Source organism: Homo sapiens, chromosome 11 (assembly GCF_000001405.40).
Source record: "Homo sapiens chromosome 11, GRCh38.p14 Primary Assembly".
Lineage (NCBI taxonomy): Eukaryota > Metazoa > Chordata > Mammalia > Primates > Hominidae > Homo > Homo sapiens.
In genome coordinates, this window is record NC_000011.10 from 33,468,367 (window position 1) to 33,492,223 (window position 23,857).

At 41.5% G+C, this 23,857-nt stretch overlaps 1 protein-coding gene across 9 annotated transcripts in view, besides 1 other annotated feature; it reads left to right on the forward strand.

Annotated features, from left to right (window-relative positions):
• Positions 1–23,857, forward strand: part of KIAA1549L (KIAA1549 like) — a 297,995-nt gene that overhangs the window by 92,259 nt on the left and 181,879 nt on the right. The gene's annotated exons all lie outside the window — the stretch shown is intronic.
• Positions 9,780–10,069: an enhancer, noted in NCBI's record as "active region_4578". NCBI's record gives its function as "activates an Ori minimal core promoter by ATAC-STARR-seq in GM12878 lymphoblastoid cells {active_cell/tissue: GM12878}" and the evidence as "EXISTENCE:reporter gene assay evidence [ECO:0000049][PMID:35858748]".

The following is a 23,857-nucleotide window of genomic DNA, read 5'->3' on the forward strand; positions in this document are numbered from 1 at the left end:
ATTATCAAAAACAAATTAGTTTCAATTCACTGTAATTACAGAGAAATACTAAGTCCTAGCAAGGAGTGTTACAGAGTCACCCAGTCAACACCTAGTGTGGCACCTGCTGGGACATACCTGTGTCATTTCTGAGCCAGGACACACCTGCGACTGCAGGTCTATCACTGTCGAATCATCTGGAATGATGCTGTATTGACAGTGCCCTTATCTTCTATTGTTGTACTGATCCTGTATCCCTTCCTGTTGGTTGATCCTCTTTTATGTACTGGTGAGTGATGTTCCTTATTTATAAAAGAGTGAGAAGATTAAACTTAGTGAATGTTGATTAGCATTCTCAGCACTGCTTTGAAAATACATATCATAACGAACTCTTCTCAGCTATAATACGGCGCTCCAGAATCATAACTCTGGCCTCCATGCTATTGTAATTTTTGTGAGTATACTTTATTGCTCCCTAGCCCTGGGAGGAATGAAGATACTGAGCTTATTATTTTTTTTATGTTATAGAAACATCAACAAATAGTTTCAAAAATGTCCCCAGGAAGGTAGAAAAAGTAAATGTTGAAAGAGGGTACAATAATGGACTCAGGACTTCGTTGGCTCTGGGCTGAAGTGGGCCCCACTTGGAGGGTTTGCTTGCTTGTTGGTTTTTGTTTCTTTCATGACTTTATTGACATATAATTTGTATATCATTAAATTCACCTGTTTAAAGTGTACAATTCAGTGGTTTTTAGTGTATGTGCAGAGTTGTACAACTATCACCACGATCTAATTTTAAAATATTTTATCACCCCCAAACAAACCCCGTTATCTATTAGTCAGTCCCATTGCTCCTTCCTCCCAGTCCTACGCAATCTACCTTCTGTCTCTGTGGATTGGCCCATTCTGGACATTTTATATTTATGGAATCATATAGTATGTGGCCTTTTATGTGTAGCTTCTTTTACATGGCATGATGTTTTCCAGGTTTATCTTTATTTTAACAAATATCAGTACTTTACTCCTTTTTATTGCTGAATACTATGAATATAATGTGTCATCTTGTTTATTCATCAGGTGATGAACATGTGAATTTTTTCCACTTTTTGGCTTTTGTGAATAATGCTGTGATGAATGTTCATGTACAAATTCTTGTGTGGACATACGTTTTTGGTTCTCTTAGGTATATACCTAGGAATGGAATTGCTGGATCATATGATAACTATGTTGAATCATTTGAGGAACTACCAAACTGTTTTGCAAAGAGGCTGCACCATTTTAGAATCTTGCCGGCAATGTATGAGGATTCTGATTTCTCCACATCCTTGTCAACACTTGTTATTGTGTCTTTTTTATTTCAACCATCTTAGTAGATGTGAAGTGTAGCTCATTTTGGTTTTGATTTGTATTTCCCTAATGGCTAATGATGTGGAACATCTTTTCATATGCGTAATGACTGTTTTTATGTCTTCTTTGGAGAAATGTCTGTTCAAATCCTTTGGCCATTACAAAAATTGGATTATTTGTCTTTTCATTGCTTAACTGTAAGAGCTCTTTATATATTCTAGATACAAGCGTCTTATCAGACATTTGGTTTGCAAATATTTTCTTCCATTCTGTGGGTTTTACTTTCTTGATAGTGCACTTGAAGGCAAAATGTTTTAAATTTTATGAAGTTCAATTTATCTATTTTTTTTTCTTTTGTTGCTTGTACTTTTGGTGTCATATCTAAGGAACTGTTGCCTAATCTAAGGTCATGAGAATTTACTCCTATGTTTTCTTCAAAGAGTTTTGTAGTTTTAGCTCTTACATTTAGGTTCATGATGCATTTTAAATTGATTTTTGTATATGGTGTGAGGTAGGGTCCAATTTTGTTGTTTTACATGTGGGTATCAATTGTCCCAGCACCATTCATTGAAAAGACCCTTCTTTTCTCATTGAATTGTCTTGGTGTTCTTGTTGAAAATCAATTGACCGTAAATGTAAGGGTTTACTTTTGGACTCTCAGTTCTATTACATTGATCTCATATGTCCATCTTTATGCCACTGCCACACTGTAGTATAGTGTATTGTAGCTTTATAGTAAGTGTTTGTTTGTTTGGTTTTGGCTTTTTTTTTCAGACAGGGTCTCACTCTTTTGCCCAAGCAGAAGTGCAGTGGTGTGATCATGGCTTACTGCAGCCTTCACCTCTCCCTCCTCACCCTACAGAGTAGCTGGGACTACAGGCACATGCCACCTCACGCAGCTAATATTTTTGTGTGTGTTTGTTTTTTGGTAGAGATGGGGGTTTCACCATGTTGCCAAGGCTGGTCTTGAACTCTTGAGTTCAAGCAATCCACCTGCCAATCCACCCGCCTTGGCCTCCGAAAATACTGGGATTATAGGAATGAGCCACTGTGCTCAGGCCTGTAGTAAGTTTTAAAATCCAGGAAGTTAGAGTTTTCTGACTTTTTTCTTCTTTGTTTTGTTTTCTTCTTTGGCTTTGTTTTGGTTATTCTGTGTCCTTGAGAGAGAAGCTTTTAATGCTAGTGTGCCACTTCCACTCAGGATTCTGGCTGCAGGAGGAAGTAGGCAGTGTTGGTGAATGGGCAGAGTACTGCTACAGTGTGATTTAGTGATTTGTTAGGTGTTTCCATAAGTTTCTTGCATTTTTTTTAAGAGACTAAATTTTGCTATGTTGCCCAGGCTGGTTTCAAACTCCTGGGCTCAAGGGATCCTCCTGCCTCAGCCTCATGAGTAGCTGGGACTACACGCATGCCGCTGCACCTGGCTAAGTTTCTTGCATTCATAGTGAAATCTTTTTGAACACCACTACCATTACTGCCCCTCAACTTTTTATGGCCCAGGGAAGCCAAAGGCCCATCTCAGAACCTTTTTTTTTTTTTTTCAACATTCTCAGACTTTTGATCCCAGCCCAGCATCTTCCCTGTCTCTAGCACCTGCTTCTGGGTGTGCCCTCTTGAGTTCTTGCCCCATGTCACCCTTGATGGTAAACTTAGCCACTTCATTAGTTCTCTAAGTCATGCAGTCATGCTAAGCATTTTGCAACATTGGTAAACTTTATGAAGATTAAGGGGTCACTTGGAGTAATCATGTAGGGCATAGCATTCTTCCATCTTAATCATCCCTTCTTCTCTCTCTCCTCATTCTCTTCATTCCAGATCTCCCTATTCCTATCTCCAATTGTTGATGCTCAGTTACTCAGAACAGCTTTATTCCTTCTTAGAAGTCTCATTCAGGTTTTGAAGAAAACAACTTCTAGCCTAATGAGCTCATCAGAGCCTTTACCCAACAGTGGAGGTTTTCTCTAAGGTCTCTCCCTAGAAGGAGTCTCCTTCCCTCCTGCTAAGAGAGAAAACATCTCTCCAACTGCTTTCACATGTTGACTCACAGCAAAATCTGTTAGCCCTATCAGGGAATTTGCCAGGTAGGTGCAGATCTGGCATGGACTCTGCAGGCAGGAACAGAGCCAGGTTTCTGAGGTCCATCCTGGGTTGTACATTCTGCGAGTCTCTGAGCCCTTGGTTTCTTTATCAGAACCTTATGAACAGTCTCATGGAAGTAAGCAGACAATGGCTTAAGCATAGAAGGTTTTATTCTCTGAGTAAAAAGGCTGGAGTTGGGCTTACCGGAGATGCAGACTCCTTTTATCCTGTTGCTCTGTTGTTCTGAGTGTTGCCTCAGAATGAGCCAAAGTGGCTTCTTAAACTTTATGCATCATCTCCACATTCCTGTTGGTGCCTCTTTCTTCCTTCCTTTCCTTTTTTTCCTTTCTCTCTCTTTCTTTCTCCTTCTTTTCTTTTCTTTCTTCAGGACCTTGCTGCGTTACCTAGACTTGAGTACAGTGCAGTGAACTCCTGGGCTCAAGCCATCCTCCTGCCTCAGCCTTCCAAGTAGCTAGGACTACAGGCACATGCCTCATGCCTGGCTTTTTTTTTTTTTTTTTTTTTTGGTTGTAGAAACAGGGTCTCATTATGTTGCCCAGGTTGGTCTCAAACTCCTGGCCTCAAGAGATCCTCCCATTTCGGCCTCCCAAAACACTAGGATAACATGTGTGAGCCACTGAGTCTGGCCCTCTTCCTTTTAAGGACACTTCCTGGGAGTAACCTCCTGCCTACATTAATTGAACAAAACCTAGCCATATGGCTGTACAAGGGAGACCAGGAACTATAATTCCAGGGGCCACATACCTAGCTAATATTGGAGTGTTCTAATACTAAGCGAGAAAGTCATTTGGGAAGACAGCCAGGACTTTCTGTTACAGAGGCTCCTGTCTCTGTTCAGGAGCCCAAGAACAGAGAAGGATCTCAGACTGGAGAAGTCAGTAGGTATAGCCTGAAATAGTTGCTGACTGCATGTCAAAAATTTCTTTCAGGTCTCATTTTTTATCTTAAAATTGTGCACATTCTGCACCACAGTCCGTATTATATCCATGTTTCTCATGCTGCAAAATCTAATAAGTAAAATCAGTACTTTGGAGAGATTCACCTTACTAGTTGCTGCAGCTTCCCTCATTTCCTACCATGCTTCTACTTACCTCCAGGCTGTTTCCAGTTTGAGAAACAGGGCTTTCTCTGGACTTGGTGCTCCAGCTTCCAATGTGTGACCAGGAACATGAGTAGGGGCTGCTTTGAAGGCAGCCACCCTGTAGTGACCAAACCCAGAGCCCAGTGCAGGGTCTCAAATAGGGTCACAAGAAACATTTGTTGGAAGAGTGAAAGAACAAATAAATCAAATTGTGTCTGTACTTCAGACTTGGATGGCTGTGGCTGTAGTGTCTGTTTGGGGCTTTTCTGATGCTTGTTCATGTTAATCCATCAAATAGTTATTGAATGGCTATTAGGGTACCCCCAAAATCAGGGATTTGGGGAAATTAAAGATGAATAACCATAGTCCCTACCTTCAAAGAGCTTCCGTCTAGTGGGAAAGGAGGAGGCAAGTGGAAATTTTAATGTAGAGTATTAAGTACTGTAGGGTCAAACCCAGGTGCTGAAGAAGCACCTAGGAGGGGCATCTGACCCAATCTTGGGCGAACAGGGGATACTTCCTGGAGGAGGTGATGTCCAAGACAAGTCTTAGAGGTTGCATAGGAGTTGTCAGGACATTGAAAGGAGGAAGAGAGAAAGACACGCGTGAAGGCTCATTGGTGAGAGGAACTATCAGCAGTTTAAAGTGGCCTAATTATAGTTACCTTCTCAAAGGCCCTGTCTTATAATCTCATTCCTTTGCCAAGCAGCCTACTATAGTGTCCTTTGCCTAAAGACTGTGTTCTCCGCTTCCGAGCATGGCATTCAAAGGCTCTCCACCATTTGGTCTCATATGCACGTTCCCTTCGAGTCATATTAGATTAGTCCCCATTCCCTGACCATTTTCCTCATTCTCCCCTCTTGGCTAATTTTATATCCTTTATCTAGAATAACCTTTCCTATCTTCTCCACTGGTCAAATCCTACTCCCTTCTGGGAAGTCCTAAGATGCTGTATTTTAAAAACAGATTAAAAAAAATCTGTTTTTGTGTTACTATAAAGGGATACCTGAGGTGGAATAATTTATAAGGAAAAGAGGTTTGATTGGCTCTTGGTTCTGCGGGCTGTACAAGCATGGCTCCAGCATCTGCTTCTGGTGAGGGCCTCAAGAAGCCTTCTATCATGGAGGAAGGGAAAGTGCACCAGCATCTCACATGGAAAGAGTAGGAGCAAGAGAGAGAGGGAGAAGGTGGCAGGCTCTTTAAACAACCAGCTGTCTCCTGCACTCAGAGCTAGAATTCACTCATTACCATATGGAGGGCACCAAGCCATTCATGAGTGATCCTCTGCCATGACCAAAACACCTCCCACCAGGCCCCACCTCCAACATCGAAAATTACATTTCAACATGAGATTTACAGGGGACAAACACCCAAACTATATCAGATGTCATCTGGCTTGTGAAGCCTTAAATTTGCCCTGAATTGGACTTACTTTGCCCCACCTCCGTGATTCCAGAGCTCATATCTTTCATTATGCAGCATTGATCACATTCAGTCGTACACTTTAGTTATATAACCTTTCCCTTGCTCGTTGCTCTTCTGTGAGCAACTTGAGGGCAGGGATGCAAGGCCAATTCATCTTTAAGTTCCACAGAGCTCTTTCTCTCGCTGTCTTAGAATCACATGTGTGACAATGCCTGACAATATGCGATTCTAAGAGACTGAGAGAAAGAGCACCCACTTTAGACTCAAGCCTGGGTTCAACTCTCTATCCTGGCACTAATGCTATGCCTTGGGGAAGCCCTTTAACTGCCCCTTGGGCTCCTAACTTCCTCATTTGTAAAAGAGAGATAATGATAATAGCCACTTTGGGAAGTGGGTTGGAGGATTAAATGAAATGGCATCAGCAAAGAGTACTGCATAGAAACTGGCACCCAGTAGGTACCCAATAAACACCTGCCAAACGAAATGGCTGCAGCCTAATTGCTGCTCAGTTTATTTTGGTTCTGCTTTTTCCAGGCGAGGGCCTGTCATCTTCATAAACACTCCAGCGTGAGGAATGGTGGAGGAATTCTAATTATTTGGTGTTATAGACTTTTTTTGTTAATTAAGGAGGGCTGCAATATTTTAAACTCACACGGGAATATCCAAGGGAATTGAAAGCCTTGCAGAATATGTATCTTCAGGGAATATGGTGTTGAGAACTCTGGGTGTGTGGGTTTGCTGGTTGCTGCTGCGGAGCTGTGAACATTTAAAGCAGCGAGTGTGCAAAAGAGGGAGCTTCTCATTCTCCTGCAATGACTTTCTGAGCAGAGGGGGCCAGAGCTGTATATGCCCCTAACACCCAATTCCTCACCTCGTCTTTTCTTTCTTATGGAGCCCTGATTCATAGAAGCTGGAGGTAGTTTTGCCTCTTCTGGTACTGTGGCTGCTAGTGTATGGATGCATATTTATTCATTTTTTACTTAGCCTTGTTCTAGAAAAGAATTTGCAGTGGTGAGCTTGTAAATATAGCCTGTTTCTTCTCCGTTTAATGGCTCTTAAACAAAAGTGCATATCAGATTTGACTAATGAACTTTTCAAAAAATATGTTTTTGGCCAGGCATAGTGGCTCACGTCTATAATCCCAGGGCTTTGGAAATCTGAGGTGGGAGGATCGTTTGAGCCCAGGAGTTCGAGGTTATAGTAAGCTATAATCATGCCAGTGTACTCCAGTCAGGTGACAGAGTGAGATCCTGTCTCTTTAAAAAAAAAAAAGGCCAGGTGCAGCGGCTCATGCCTGTAATCCCAGCACCTTAGGAGGCAGAGGCAGGAGGATCACTTGAGCCCAGGAGTTTGACACCATTCTGGGCAATATAGCAAGACCCTCATCTCGCTCTCTCAAAAAAAAAAAAAAATTAGCTAGACGTGGTGCACATCTATGGTCCCAGCTGCTCAGAAGGCTGAGGCAGGAGGATCACTTGAGCTCAGGAGATCAAGGCTGCAGTGAACTGTGATTGTGCCACTGTACTTCAGCCTGGGTGACAGAGTGAGACTGAGACTCCATCTCAAAAATTAAAACAAACAAAAATATAGTCTCTCTCCCGCCTGCCCCCCACCCAACTCCCCCCAGGTTGGGATTCATTAAATCTGGGGTGGGCCTGGTCACATTAGTATCCTTCAGTAAACCCTCACATGTGCCCATCCCTGCTTGAGAAGCTTGGCTGTAGATCACACACATGATCTTTTAAAACCTGGAAACTCCACACAACTGGTCTGGGCAATAGCCCGTGGGAGAGACGGCAAGTTTGAATGCTTCTCAGGAAATCTATTACTGTGCTGAAATTGGCAAACTGCCAAGGCAGCTTTGAAGGGAACAAGAATCTGCAGTTTTGTTGAAAGACAAGTTTACTCTGTAATCAGGGACTTGGCTAATGAGTGCATAGGCCATGCTGATTAGGGAATAAGACATCGAGATGAATGAATGGGGGTGTGTGCTCATTGGCGAAGCTCACCTCCATCTCTCTCTGTGGTCAGCCCAGAGGCTGGTGCCAGATGTTGAACTAGAGAAGCCTCAAGCTTATAAGCCACGGGTCAAATTCAAAGAGGTTATCCAAGAAGAGGAGGAACTAGTAGATGCTAGACGCCCAGAATCCAGAGCAGTTTTGATACAGCAGTCTTTAAACAACAAAGGTCAGATAGTGTCACCATTTTGCTTAAAACTCTTCAAAGGATTCCCATTGTACTTAAAGTCTGAACTCCATACAGTAGCCTACTGGCACCTACCTGTCCTGGCCTCTCTCACCTCTCTTCGTAGCTCCTACACTTCAGCTGCTATCCCTGGAATTCTCAAGCTCACCATTCTTTCAGAACCTTGCAGTTCCTTCTTCCAAGCGCATTGCCCCCAACCTCCCAGCTCCTGCTCATCATTCAGGTCTCAGCTCAGTTGTCCCCTTAGAGGGGCACAAAAATGTGCACCCTATTACAAATAAACTCTCCTAACGTCACACTGAAACACGTTACCCTGTCTTATCTTTGCTTTTTCACAAAACCTATTCCTACTTGAACATCTCTCGTTTATTTACTAATGTCTATTGTATGTCTCTTTCATTAGAATGTAGGCTTTGTGCGTTTTGTTTGGTTCTGTATCTCTGGCACCTGTAAGAGTATTAGGCACAGTTGGGAGTTCAACAAATAAGTGATTGAGTGAATGAATGAATCAAGCCAGTAAACTGGAGCCTAGAGGGCTGACCCCCAGACTGAAGTTCTGGCAACTCATGGTCAGTGCTTGATCAGGCCAAAGGCAGTAACACTTCAGTATCTATGCAAGAAGGTTGTTATTCAGTAGTAGCAGAGCTGTGTCAGTTAAGAATAGAGCTAAGTCAGCCTGCTTCTCCAGAGGAGTCTCCCTGGAGCCTTCTTGGTGTGGCCTGAGCCCGAGGAGGAGGAGGTGTTTCTACCTGGGTAGAATGCCCCCCACCACTTTTGGAACACTGGGTGGGGAGCTGAGAAGTCTGTCTCTGATACTTCAGAAAAAGTGAACGCTTAACAAGATGTAGAAATCCAGTGAGGTATGACTCACAGAAATGTTCTCTCTGACCTTCTGCCCAATGGGATGGAACACAATAAATTTCAAGATGTAAGATATTTAATGTAGGGTTTTTAGAAAGGCACTGTGATGAATAATCTGTGGTGGAGTGCCACGCAGGTGCACGCACACACACACAAACACACACACACACACACACACGACACTACCCCCCTTTGCATGTGGTTCTCTTCGGTTAACTCTTGCTCACTTTTCCAGCCTTGTTAAGGTGCCATTTGCTTTGGGAATCACTGGGTGCTGGTCAAAGTGCTCATATTGGGTGATCTCTTTAGATGGCTTTGTCTGAGCACATCCTCCCCTCTTGGGATTGTCAGTTACTTGCTCCCACCCTCACTTCCTAGAACTGTGAGCTCCTCGAAGGACTGTATAATTTGTCTTTATGTTTCTGTCACCCAGCACAGTGTCTGATCTACCATGGTGCTTAATAAATGTCTGCTGAATGCACAGATGCATACACACACACACACACACACCACTGTGGGAAACCACTTACGTTTTGTCCAAGTTCATAGACCCAAGGAACAGCCCCAGAGGCACAGAGCACCTGCTGTACTAAAATAGGTGGAGACCTGTGAACTACAGGTAAGACAAGAGGTCCAGCTACATTTAGACAGAAGGCTTATGGTCCAGCCAGAGGGGGTGTTGGCTTGTCACATAAAAGGGAAAGGCTTGAGTGTTTCTCTGATATTTACTTCCCCTACAGTAAAAGGGCAGGACAGGGGAACCAACCTAGCGACATTAAAATCATTGTCTTCTGTGGTATGCAGATTCACCTGACCTTGAACTCACTGATGACATGGTATCGATTGCACCACCACCTGCAGTCCTGCAGCAGCAGCTGCCAGCAGAAGCCATGCTAACAGAACTCACAGAGGCAAGTTTTGTTCTAGCCTGACAAGCATGCCTGGCTTTGCAAGCCCCCCAGACGGGCAAAGGTTTCTGCAAAGCTATGTCTTGCAGGGATTGCAGTTTTGTCTTGGGGAAAACACAGATTGGCCTGAACCCGTTGGGGGAGGAACAGAGCGAAAGAGGTTTTTTCAAGCTCTGCAGAGCTGTTATAACCACATGGAGCGGATTTCAGAGCTGATGGGCTCCGCCTGCAGAAGGCTGCATAGCAACAAGGGAGGAGTTCTCCATTTCTGTCCTTTTAAAGAGCTGGTCACAGATAGGAATAGCATTTTTTTCCATCTGATTTTTATGTTGTCCTTCATGTAAACAGTAAGCCATGATTTTGCTTTATATGGACAGATAGAGTGGTCACAGTTCAAGCCCTTCACTTGAACTATCTCATTTAATCCTCAAAATATTTCTGAGGAGGTGCTATTATTTTTTTAAATTATTATTATTATGATTTTAGACGGAGTCTTGCTCTGTGGCCAGGCTGGAGCGCAGTGGCACGATCTCGGCTCACTGCAACCTCTGCCTTTCACCATGTTGGCCAGGATGGTCTCGATCTCTTGACCTCGTGATCCACCTGCCTTGGCCTCCCAAAGTGCTGGGATTACAGGTGTCAGCCACCATGCCCAGCCACAGGTGCTATTATTATCCTCATTTTCACAAATGAGGAAGCTCAGACTTGGGCATGTTGCCCCTAAGGTTACTCAGTTAGTAAATGGTAGAGCCAGAATTTGAATCCAAAGGAGATGAAGACATATATGGGATATATACAGATCTGCATATCTTCAGATATTTTTTCACCAGTGCTCATTATGTTTTTATCCTCTTTGCCTTTGTTAGGGTAGACAAGAGGTAAAGCTGAGATCATGGAAGTGGAAGCTTTCTATGGATTTGCTGGACTGAGCTGGGGGTTCCTGGGCTAGGTGCCTTCAGCTGCACTTGTAGCAACAAGGAGAGGCTGAGGCAAGGCCAGAGGGCATTCAAGTGACACTCATGCCACCTGGGAGCTGCCACCTGGCCTTCCTTCATCTGTGATTGGCCAGCGTTAGGAAGAAAAGCCAGAATGTGAAATTTACAAATGGTTTGTCGAGGGAGGGAACTGGGGGACATCCAAGTTAGAAGAGGTTGGCAAAGGGTAAAATGAATAGCCAACCAAAATATAAGGCAACAGTGGGCAGGAGGTCTGGGCTGCACAGATGACAAGCTGGCCCTTGAAGTGGCTGTGCCAAAGAGAAAGGGGAAGAAGTGCCAAGAATGGAAAATCAGTGGGAAATTTAAAAGTTGAATTAGAAAATCTGAAATGAAAGTGGCATCGGAGAATAAGAGAAGGCTTTCTGTTATATTGGAATTAAAGAGACAGAGCTTGTGATTCTCAAACCTTTTCTGTTGTTAAGAGCGTCACCCTAGGTCTGGAAATTGAATTGAGGGGTGCGTTTTTAGCAGAATTGTTGGGAGGGAAAACAGGAGCCAATGCCGGGCACATTTTTGATTGAGAAACAGATTTTAAAAGGGAAGAAAAGAAAGAAGAAAAGGCAGGACTCTCAGGACCAAGCAAGGTAGCAGAAGAGAGGCTCAGAGCTTTCCTTAGGGTCTCCATTTAAAAACTGTGGTATGTTTAACACGCAGAAACTTGTTTTGAAAGACTGAGCTGTAAGAGACAGCCTATTAGCTTGTTTTCCTAAATCAAGTTAAATTTGGCTTCAAGCCTCCATGTATCAGAGTTGGAGGGAGGTTCATATTAATGATTGTGTGTGTGTGTGTGTGTGCACGCGTGCTTAAAATAGCTTTGTTGAGATATAACCCAAATACAATACAGCTCACCCGTTTAAAGTGTGTAATTCAGTGACTTAGTATATTCAAATTACAAGTTCATTTCCACAATCAATTTTAGAACATTTTCCTCTTCCCCAAAAGAAACCCTGTACTCTCCTTTTTCCTCCAACTCTCTCAGCCCCAGGCAACCGCCAATCTCCTTTCTATCTCTGTGGATTTGCCTATTTGATTGGCTTCTTTCACTTAGTATAAGGTTTGCAGGGCTCAGCCGTGCTGTAGCATGTATCAGAACTTCATTCCTTTTTATGGCTGGATAATACTCAATTGTATAGATGGGCTTTACTTTATTTGCTCGTTCATGAGTGAATGGATTCTTTTGGCTGCTAGGAATAATGCCGCTGTGAACACTCGTGTACAAGTTTTTGTGTGGATGGATGTTTTCATTTCTCTTTGGTGTATACTTTTAGAAGTGTAATTCATGGGTTATATGGTAACTGTGTGTTTGGGATGGTGATTTGTATCCCTAAGGTTGTAACAAAGCTACAAGGGGTTACCAGAAATTTTGGGGAAGGATCTCTGGTCTTCAGTCCACATAGACACTGCAAGAAGCTCATCACCCAAGTCCTGGTGGGCCATTTGAAAGTTAGTGGTTTTCCTATTCTCCGTTTGTGCCAGACTCTTTGCAGTCTTTGTGCCAAACTCTGCAGTGAGACTGCCACTGTTTGCCAAGGCTGGGGGCCTTATGGCTTAGTTTCCTAGCAGCCATGTGTCACCCCCATCAGAAGCCCAGCTCCCTCCTAGGACATCACGTGGATGTAGGAGTCAGATTTAGCTGCTGCTTAAGGGACATGATGCCATCTCCACCCTCCGCTAAATCTACCATTAGCAACTCACATTTTTTTCCCATAGAACTGTGTCAACATTGAATTTTACTATTTGTACTTATTTTAGTTTAATGTGTTCAGTGGTAGTTTAAAGTTGCTTTGGCTTGTTTTTCTTTAATGGCTAGGAATAGTGCATTTCTGTATTTTTTTCTCGTTTAGACTTCCTTTGGGCTAAGTGGACCATTCTTCTGTGGCCCACTTAATGAATAGCATCTGGGCTTTTTGTATATATTTATATCAGTTCTTTACATGTGCTACTTTGAGTAGTAAAACTTTCATCAATTATGTTTGTCGTATTTTGATATTACTATTTATTTATTTCTCAAGGCATTGCTCTTTTTTATCTCTTCAGTAGTAAGAATGCTATCTCATTTTCACTTTTGTTAAACTTTTATTTTAGGCTAGTGGTACATGTAGAAGTTTGTTCTATAGGTAAACTGGAAATTTTTCACTTTTAATACAAATTAGATAGTTTTAATGCATAAATTGTTGCCTGGTTTAAAAGTTATTTTGTGTCACCAGGACCTAAAGTGCAATAAATCATTTTTTATTTAAGTTGGCATTTAACAGTAGTTCTCTTTTCCACTTTTGTGTTACTCCTGATATGTCATTTATTACGTTCCTTTAATAGCTTGAATTTTGTTTCTGGAATATATACCAGCCCAGGGATGCTTGCTTTTAATACAGCTCCACGTACGTTCAATAACTGCAGCTTTATAATTTGCAGTCCAGTAGGACAGACCCACCCTCACTTTTTAAAAAAGAAGTCTCTGTTATTCCTTATTCCTCTGAGTAAATTTCACTGTGTGCTTGTCTCACTCTAGAAAGTGTTCCAATAGACCTTAATGATATTGGATTAATTTATAAGTCTACATTGGACATGTTTGCATCTCTACCACCTGAACGAGGATTATGCTCTTAACTGCACCTTTTAAGCCCATGGGCTCATCCCATGTTCCCTGTAATTCTCAGTTCTCCTTCTGCCTCCTCTTTCTCTCAGAGCAAGTTAGAAATTTGCCCTTGGAGCAGAAAGCATCACACTATTCAGGTTTTCCTTATTTCTCTTAACAGAGTTTTATAACTTTCCCTAAGTCATGTGTGTCTTAAGTGAAATGAATATGCAGATATTTAATGTTTTGTATTACTATTTCAAATAGCATTTTTTTCCTGGATTTTTTTTCTTTGTGCTGTCTGGCACTAGTGTAAGCAAAGGTTATTGATTTTTGAGGATTATTTTATACCCTCAATTTTGAGCAAGTCATTCTCTGGTTAATTTTCTTGAATTTTCTAGGACTATAACCACGTCATCTTGAAATACTGACACTTCTATTTTTTTCTTCACAATTTTTATACTTTTTTTTTCTTGAATAGTTATCTGCTGGAATTTCTAGAGCTAGGTTAAATAGAGGTGGTGACAATGGGACATTGTTGTTTTTTCCCCCCAGTGACTATAAAACTGATAAGTATGTTTAACCTTTCCCCCAGGTTAAGACAGAAAATCTGCACCTTTTTTGGGAAAATTAATTAAAAATTAATGCTGAATTTTACTCGGTTCCTTTTGGCACATATTTAACAATTACGTGTATCTAAGAGCTATCTTTGCATATGCTATACTTTTTTTTTTTTTTTTTTGAGACTGAGTCACTCTGTCGCCCAGGCTGGAGTGCGGTGGCATGATCTTGGCCCTCACTGCTGCCTCCACTTTCCAGGTTCCAGTGATTCTCCTGCCTCAGCCTCCTGGGTAGCTGGGATTATAGGCACGTGCCACCATACCTGGCTAATTTGTGTGTTTTTAGTAGAGATGGGGTTTCATCATGTTGGCCAGGCTGGTTTTGAACTCCTGACTTCAAGTTATCCACCCGCCTCACCTCCTAAAGTGCTAGGATTGCAGGTGTGAGCCACAGCACCTGTTGCTATACATTATAAAGTAGTTTTTAAAAAGTTATACTAGATTTATATGACTAAGACAAGCTCTGATTATTCATGATTTAAAATTTTCAGTGTTTCCTGGTATTTTCATAAGAGACATAAGCCACTATCCAGCTCGCTGTTCCCTATCTCCTCCCATTGTTCCTTTCTCCCTGCATCCTCCTTTCATGCATCATTTTCTCTCCTCCTTTTCCCTCCTGTCTCCTCCTCCTCCTCTCTTTCCCTCCTCTCCTTCCTCTATCCTTTCCTTCTGGTGTCTTTGTCAGCTTTGGGAGTTAAAGCCTTTACCTCAGAGACTAACCTAGTTAATAGTGCCATCGTTCTAGAATAAATGAGATCCTTTATGTAATAAATGATTTGGAGAAATTCTCCTGTCAGTCCAGTAGTAACAAATATCTTGTTTGAGGGGTAGACAGGGTTGGAAATTGTTGAGGGGGAGAAATCTACGTTCTGGGCGCCCTTTGGGAAGGCGAACCTTGAGCAGAATGATGTTGGGAAGTGATGTGGGTGGGTTGGGTACATTCACCTAGAGACCTTAGCTAATCTGGCATGGTGGGCATTACACATATATTAATAGATGGTGAAAGAGACATCATGAAGGTGAAATCTGACCCACTTGGCATACCACTGGGCATGGCAGGCACGAGGCAAGGCAGGCATATGTTTGCTGCTCTTAGGCCTCCTCTGATATGGTTTGGCTGTGTCCCTACCCAAATCTCATCTTGAATTGTGGCTCCCATAGTTCTCATGTGCTATGGGAGGGACCCATGGGAGATAACTGAATCATGGGGGATGGTTTCACCCATACTGTTCTCGTGGTAGTGAATAAGTCTTATGAGCTCTGATGGTTTTATAAGGGGAAACCCCTTTCGCTTGGTTCCCATCTGTGACCATGTAAGATGTGCCTTTTACCTCCCACCATGATTGTGAGGCTGCTCCAGCCACATGGAACTGTGAGTCCATTAAACCTCTTTTTCTTTATAAATTACCCAATCTTGATATGTCTTTATCAGCAACGTGAAAATAAACTAATACATCCTCTATTTCTGAGAGTTGTCTTTCCCACTGAGGAATTAGCTTGGCCATTTGATCTTGGAAATAGTCTTCTTGGTCAGATACTATCCATGCTGTGAGGGATGCATATGGCTTTATTTGGGGCAGGTTCTTCCCAGACCCTTTTCTTTTTCAAAGAGCAAAAACCAGAATGGCATTCTCTTATTTCTATAATTATTTTCTATTATTTCTATTATTTGTTATTTCGTCTTTAAACTTCGGGGACAGCTGGTGGATCTGTTCTTGAATTTCAAGTTTAGAAACCTGATGAGTGCCTTTGACCTCAATCCTGAGCCTGACTCTGTAACCATTTGTTGATATCCACATGGAGAATGTCTTTCAAATGGAGAATGTTGTCTTAAATCACTGCTCTTTTAAGATCTCAGTATCACCGCCTTTGTTTTCCTCTTCCCCCTGATTCCCCTTGTCATGTGGTATGGATCTGCATTCTTCAATTCTGTTGTGGCTATTTCTTCTATGTTGTGGTCCATGGTTTTGAGCAAGGAACCTGCAGCCAGACTGCCTGGGTTCTAAGACCAGCTCCGCCATTTATAGTCGGAGTGGACTTCGCCAGTTACTTAATTCCTGTGTAACCTGGCTTCTCCAGCCACATAATGGGAATTGTGACCACTCACCTCCCTAGAGTCGTTGTGAGAATGAAATGAGATTATCTACATAAAGGGCTTTGCACCATGCTGGACGGAGGTGAGCATCCCATAAGTATTAGCTGTAGCTATATTGTTAGCGTCTGCTGGTGTGGAAAGCTGTAATTTAGGTTTTCCATGGTTGTGTATGTTCTCCACTGCATCAGTGTTGTGTCTTCTCCTTTTTTCAGTCCCACTCCAGAATTTATAAGTTTATTGTAGTTTATTTTCTTCTCTGTATAATCTCACTTTGATAATTTATTTTTTTCTTGCAGCTTTAAAATAAGTAGGCATGGATCATGCCCCTACTGGCCTTTAAAAGGCACCATGCTGGTATTCTAATCAAGACCATTGCTTAGAACCAGCTTCCTCTATTTAATCCCCAAATTCTTGGTTTCCTTTTTCATTTCCCTAGGTCAGAAGGCTTCCTTCATCCCCTGATTTTGATAGGTGCACACTGGCCAGGGGTAGACATAGCCTCTTTATCATCCACGACCCAGCACCTTCAACCTTAGGACACAAGTTGGGGGGCTTATTTTGCTGCTGGGGCCTTGGTGCTTCCCATTGTTTTAGGAAAGGACTTCCTGTCCCAGCCTGCCCATTGAAAAAGTTGGACCAAGGGGAGGAAGCATCTTGTCAACTTGCCCCTTTCGAGTCCCAAAATTTTCAAGAATCTGTAGTTTCTTTTGCAATGGCATTGGGGGGAGGTTGATTTCTTTTATTATTTTCTCTCATGCCTAGCTACAAAATGCATGTTCAATCTTCTACAAAATTTATCTTTTGACATTCCAAAAGATGTCTTATTAATAGTGAATGAGTCAAAGTCATTGTCAATGTGTACCTTATTTAAAGAATAAGTGATTTTCATGACAAAAGTATCTATTTGTTTTTTAAATTATTTATTTTTTAATTGGCAAAGGTCAATTAAAGATATTTCCAGATTAAAAAAACCTGTTATATATTTATGGTGTACAATATGATGATTATGTATACATTGTGGAATGACTAGATAAAGCTAATTAACATATCAGTTACCTCACATTTTTATCATTTTTTTTGGTGAGAACATTTAAAATCTCAGCAATTTTCAAGTGTACAATACTTTGTTGTTAACTATAATCACCATGTTTTACAATAGATCTTCTGAATGTATTCTTCTTGACTGAAATTTTATATCCTTTGACTAACATCTCCCCATTCCCACCCCAACCCCAGCCCCTGGTAACCTCCATTCTACTCTCTGCTTCTATGAGTTCGACTTTTTTAGACTTTATATGTAAGTGAGATCCTTGGTATTTGTCTTTCATTGCCTGGATTATTTCACTTGATATAATGTCCTCCAGTTTCATCCCTGTCATCACAAATGACAGGATTTCCATTTTTAAGGCTGAATAGTATTCCATCATGTATATATTCCGCATTTCCTTTATCCATTCATCTGTTAGTGGACACTTAGGCTGATTGCGTATTTTGGCCATTGTGGATAATGTGGTAGTGAACATGGAAGTGCAGGTATCTCCTTGACATACCGATTTTATTTCCTTTGGGTATATACCACAATGAAACATCACCCTATACATGTTAGGATGACTTTTTTTCAAAACGACGAGAGGTAAATATTGGCGAGGCTGTGGAGAAAAGGGAAGTCTTATACAGTGTTGGTGAGAATGTAAGTTAGTACAGCCATTGTGGAAAACAGTATGGAAGTTCCTCAAAAAATTAAAAATAAAACTACCATATGATCCAGCAATTCCACTTCTGGGTATATATCCAGAGAATCTGTGTCTTTTAAGATTGATTTTGGATCATACATTGCTTGGTTTTTCAATTGTTTCTCTTGGTTTAAGACATTTGTATGTTTTTTATTTTGGCAAATTTTGTTCAGAGGAAATTCCTTGGGGCTACCCCTACTCAAAACGAATTTAACTACTTAATGCATATACTTTATGTGTGAAATGATACTTTTATAATTAATTTAATTAAGTCTTTGTAATAAAGATATTATACTCAGAACAATGTTTTATTAAAGGTTAGTAAATGATTTCTGATAGAGACACCATAGAGCTTTTTACTTTGTCTTTTCATGAAGGACAAATTATCCTTTGAATCATTGCCTACGTCTAGCCATTCTCTTAACATATTTCAAATGTCAAGGTCTTTCCAGATTAAAAAAAAAATCTATGAATAACTCAACCAAGGAGCTACCTGCAAAATTCAATTTCTGATGGTGATCAGGTATGTCATAGAAGCCCCACTGCTGATGATGGAGCAGGTATTCTCAGCGTTGTTCTACCCAAGACTTACTTCAGTTTATCAGTTCTTGAAAATTTCATTTATGGAAACCACTACATTGCCATCAAACACTTTATGGACCCATGAAAGCAAGTGGCTTTAAGCATTTTAAACAGAGCCTGTGTACATGATGAATATAAAGAAGTATTATGTGGATCTCCATAGCAATTTATTATTCACTCAATCATAAATTGCATTTTTCCACTCTGCCTCGACCTTTAGGAGGCCCGCTGATGGGGAAAAGATAACATCTAATAATGGAAAGTCTAGTTGTTTTGTTAGATGTCAAACTTTTGAGATCAGCTTCCAAGCAAGGACAATCTTATTTGAGAAGATTATTAACCATCTCTTTTTCTCAGCGCTAGCTGTAGATCATCTGCAAGACTCTTGCGGATCATGGAGACTAATTTGGAGGGGTGGGACTGTGAGATGGAAGGTGGTATGTACTGACCAAGAAGTCTAGCCCACTAGGTGGGGGGCAGGTTGCTGGATGATGAGCCCTGGAGGCAGGGACCATGGTCTATTGTTCTTTTTTTTTTTTTTTTTTTTTTGGTCTATTCTTGTATCCTTAGCAGCCAACATCCAGACGGTCTTGAATGTTTGTTGAATGACTGAGTGGATGACAAGGAGCTTTGGGGAATGAGATGTTCTAGCAAAGTTCTAGCATCTCAGCTTTGGTGGCCATTCTTTTCTGCCTTGCCTTCAGAAGTTTGTGAGCTGAAACATCGATTCGTACTGTGAATGCATTTTAGAATTACTTGGGAACATTTTTAAAAAATACTTGAAACCCATCCTCAGAGATTCTGATTTAATTAGTCTGAGGTGGGATCTAGGCATCAGTATTTTCCGGAAGTTTTCTTATGTGATATTAATATACAGTCAGGGTTGAGACCCCCTATAAATGGGTAGGGTCCAAAGTTGGAAGACCAAAATGAGGTATGTTAGGATTCACAGTTGATCAGGATTGGTTGGGGAGTAAGAACTTTGTGTCTTACATGTGATTGAAATCTTGGAAATGGAATGTTCTAGAATCACCTTTCAAAGCTTTTTAAAAATTCTTTTGCTTCCTGTCCTCCCTTTCCCATCCCTGGGAGGCAGGATGATAGGGTAGTCCAGGAACTGGGCATTGCGAGACTGGTTCTGATCCCTCCTATTATGGATGTGATCTTATTATCTGTCACTTAACATCTCCAATTCTCAGCTTTCTCATTGGTAAAACAAAGACTTCAAAGATTTTAGAATCTTAGCACTTCTAAATATGGTTGGCAAATATGAACTTTCATGCTGATTGGCTCTTGCATTAGTGAGTCTATGTTTGTAATGCTCAAACTCAAAGGCAGTGTTAAGAAAATGAATAATGTTAATGTCATAAGTATTTATATCTCCATGGCTTAGTCTATGGATAATTCCTGAATGTGAAACAATCCATCTACAAGTGCGCTCCTCCTCAATTTTCTTGAAGAAAAAATATTAAAGGATGACAAAAGGACTAAGTCTAATATTTTAGTTGTCAAAGGTAAAATATTGTACATTTTAATGGGAAGGGAGGCCAAAATGAGCAAAACAGAAAATTTTGGGTAATTGAAGCCTCTAATTCTTGTGTCTTGTTTAATAGTTACTAGCATTGATTAATTGCTTTCCACATATCAGATGCTGTTTTAGGAGCCTTCTCTGTATCAACTCATTCAGTAAAACAACTATAGGAGGTAGATTCTATCATAATCCCAATTTTGTGGGTATGGAAATTGAGGCACATAAAGGTTAATTAACTTGCCTACTAAGATTACTAACCAGGAAGTAACAGATCAGAGGTTTGAACTCAGAAAGGCTCGTTCCTAACAACTAAGTCATATTACATTTAGAACAATAGCTTTTACTTCTAGAATGCATTCATGTGTCAGAGTTTCTCTCACCTGCCTAAGAGCACTGTGAGTTTTATTCTTATTTCTATTTTCTAGATGGCTCAGAGAGTGTAAATAATTTATGCAGGGTCACCCAGTTTGCATGCAACAGTGCTTGGATGTGAACTAGGTCCTGACTTCAGAATATAGTATTCTCTCTCTAGATATTTGCATAGCACTTCACAGTTTACAGTACATTTCTACATTTGTTATGTTGTTAAATCCTCACAACAACCCTGTGAGGTAAACTGTGAAAAATCTGAATGCTGTGCTGGCCAGCTGTCGTTGGGTGATGCTAGCCACTGGAACAGATATACCCTGAAATCTCTGTCTTAGCATGTCTTCGTCAGTTCAGGATGTCATAACAAAATAGCAAAGACTGGGTGGCTTAAACAACAGGAATTTATTACTCACAGTTCTGGAGGCTGAAAGTCCAAGATCAGGGTGCCAGCAGGATTGGTTTCTGGTAAGGTCTCGCTCCCCACCTTATAGATCACTGCCTTCTTGCTGTGTGCTTACAAGGCATGTGTGCATGCAGAGAGAGACAGAGACAGAGGGAGAGAGAGGGAAAGATATCTCTCTTTCTCTTACTCTAGGGCCATGCTGAAGGCCTTACCCTGGTGTCCTAATCTAATTACTTCCAAAGGCTCCATCTCCTGATACCATCATGTTGAGAGTTAGGGCTTCAATGTATGGATTTTGGAAGGACACAAACATTCATTTCCTAACAACACAGTGGGAGTTTATTTCTTACTCATGTACAGTCCAGTTAGTAATGGAGGTGATGTAGTTTTGCTCCATGTAGTCATTCAGAGGCCCAGGCTGATGGAGATGCTGCCATCTTCATCCCATGGTTTCCAAAGGCACCCTGGACATCGACATGTGGATTCAAATGGGCAAAAGGAATGGCGGGTCACACAGGAAGTTTTGATGGGCCAGACCCAGAAGTGGCATCTGTCTCTTCCAACTACATTCCATTGGCCAGGACATTCCAAGAATTGGCGTTGGAAAATGTAGTCTAGCTGTGTGCTCAGGAATGAGGGGAAATGGGTTTGGTGAACAACTGCCAGAGTCCACTGCAACAGTTAATAAAAATGAAAAGATCAAACGTTATTGATTCTTGTTATATGCGAGGCACTCAATGATCTAGAAAATGTATAACCATTATCTCAATACATTCTCATAATAATCTTTGAGATAGGTGTGACTTCTTACAGTTGTAAGAATTCAGACATATTAAGAGAAATTAGGTGACTCACCCAAGGTTATACAGATTGATGGTAAATGGGAAGGTTTGAATTCAAACCCAGTCTTTCTGACTCTGGAGTTATTCTTCATAACTACTCAATAAGTTTCGTATCTTCCCATGGCAAATCAGGAAAGTGGGGTTCTAGTCCCATTTTGCTATTAATAGTACAACACAGGACTTGAGTTATTGGGCAGTTGAGAACACTGGGGAGAACAGATTATCTTTCTCCTCTTATCCAAGGCCCCAGGCATGAAGGTTCTGAGTGTAGTATGGAAGTTGACAGAACTACTTACTTTACCTCTTTTTTTTTTTTTTTTTGAGACAGTATCTTGCTCTGTCACCCAGGCTGGAGTTCAGTAGTGCAATCTTGGCTCACTGCAACCTCCGCCCTCTGGGCTCAAGTGATCCTCCTACCTCAGCCTCCCGAGTAGCTGGGACCACAGGTGTGTGCCACCATGCCTAGCTATGTTTTTGCATTTTTAGTAGAGATGAGGTTTCACCGTGTTGCTTAGGCTGATCTGAAACTCCTGAGCTCAAGCAGTCTGCTGGGATTACAGGCATGAGCTACTGTGCCTGGCCCACTTTACTTCTAATTAGCCAGCTTTTTCTAAATTCTACATCCCTATAAATTAAAACAGATGTAAAATGCCTCCCTTCCCCACACCCATTACTTTTGGCGCATTCTAGTTCCAGCTGCAGTTAGAAATGTTAGCAGGGACTCAGGTGCCTGCCTTTGCATTGACATTTAACACCGTGCTCTCAAACTCTAAAATGCCCGTGAATTACCTGGGATCTTATCAAAATGCAGATTCTGCTTCAGTAGGTCTGAGGTGGGGCCTGAGAGTCTGAGTTTCTAACAAGACAACAGGTAATGCCCACCCTGCTGGTCCATCAGCCACACTTTGCACAGCAAGAATCTGCTACTTGTATGACAAATAGAATCAGCCTGTTCATGCCTCTGTTTATTTTAGCACTTTGTTCCTATCTGTCATTCCTCTTACGTTGCACTGTAACTAATGGTATAAGTGTCTGTCTCCTCAACTAGACTCTGAGTTTCTTGAGGGCTGAGACCATTTATGCTTGACAATTTTATGTCTGGCTTAGTGCCTGATTCATAAGTTGCCAAATCCATGTGTTTTAAACAGATGACTAATGACTTCAAGTGCAGGTATAGTGAGAAGCCTCATGGAATCCTGGTCTTGAGGAACCATCAAGGGCATAGCATGTGTAGGGTGGTATGTGAAAACCGTGCTGGCTATCAGCAGTCACACAGGGCTTTCAATCCCCTTGGGTACTACACGGTTCACATGGCACTACAGTATGATGCAAGACCAAAGAATAGGGGAATACATAGGAAATTGTAGGGCTAACGTTAATTTGTTAGGGGTTGTGGGAAGAAGGGGCTTATGTACACAATCCATAGTGTATACAAAAGAAGTTAGGGGCTATGGGAAGAAGGACCTTCCAGTTTATAACTTTCCAATCAGCCAAGAGTGTCTAGTTACATTTTCTATTGGGCTATTTTCCTGTATGTACCAGGTTTTGAATCTGGAAGTACTTTTGAAGCCCAAGCTAAAAAAAATAAAACTAAAACATCCTTCCCAACAAATCCCTTTTTAAGTTTTAATTTTTCTATAGAAGAAGCCCTGTTTTCTCTAAGAAATCTGAATCTCTGAGGGCTGTAGCTGTCTGAAAACAGAATGGTGTCAGTCCACTTTGTAAAGGCATCCCTGACCACAGGCAGTGAGACTTTCAGGATATCTAAGGCTGATGGAAGCCCCCTTCTCCACTCTGACCAGTGACAAACCACTACTGGGACAAAGAGGGCATGGCCATCAAGTGCTAGAAGAGAGAGCTGGTTTCTATCAAAGTTCAAATGCACACAAGACCTATTTGTAGAGGGCGAGGTCTAGGGAGGAGGTCAGAATAGGTGAGGTGGAGGATATAGAGTTTCCACAGAGCTGTGGGTCTAAACCTTTTTGTGGGTTACCAACCCTCTCAAACATCTAATGGGACCTGTGGTACCTCTGCCCAGGGAGACACATACATGCAAAATTTTGCTGCCAGTTGCGATGGCTCATGCCTGTAATCCCAGCACTTTGAGAGGCCAAGGTGGACAGATCACCTGAGGTCAGGAGTTCGAGACAAGCCTGGCCAACATGGTGAAACCTCATCTCTACCAAAAAATACAAAAATTAGC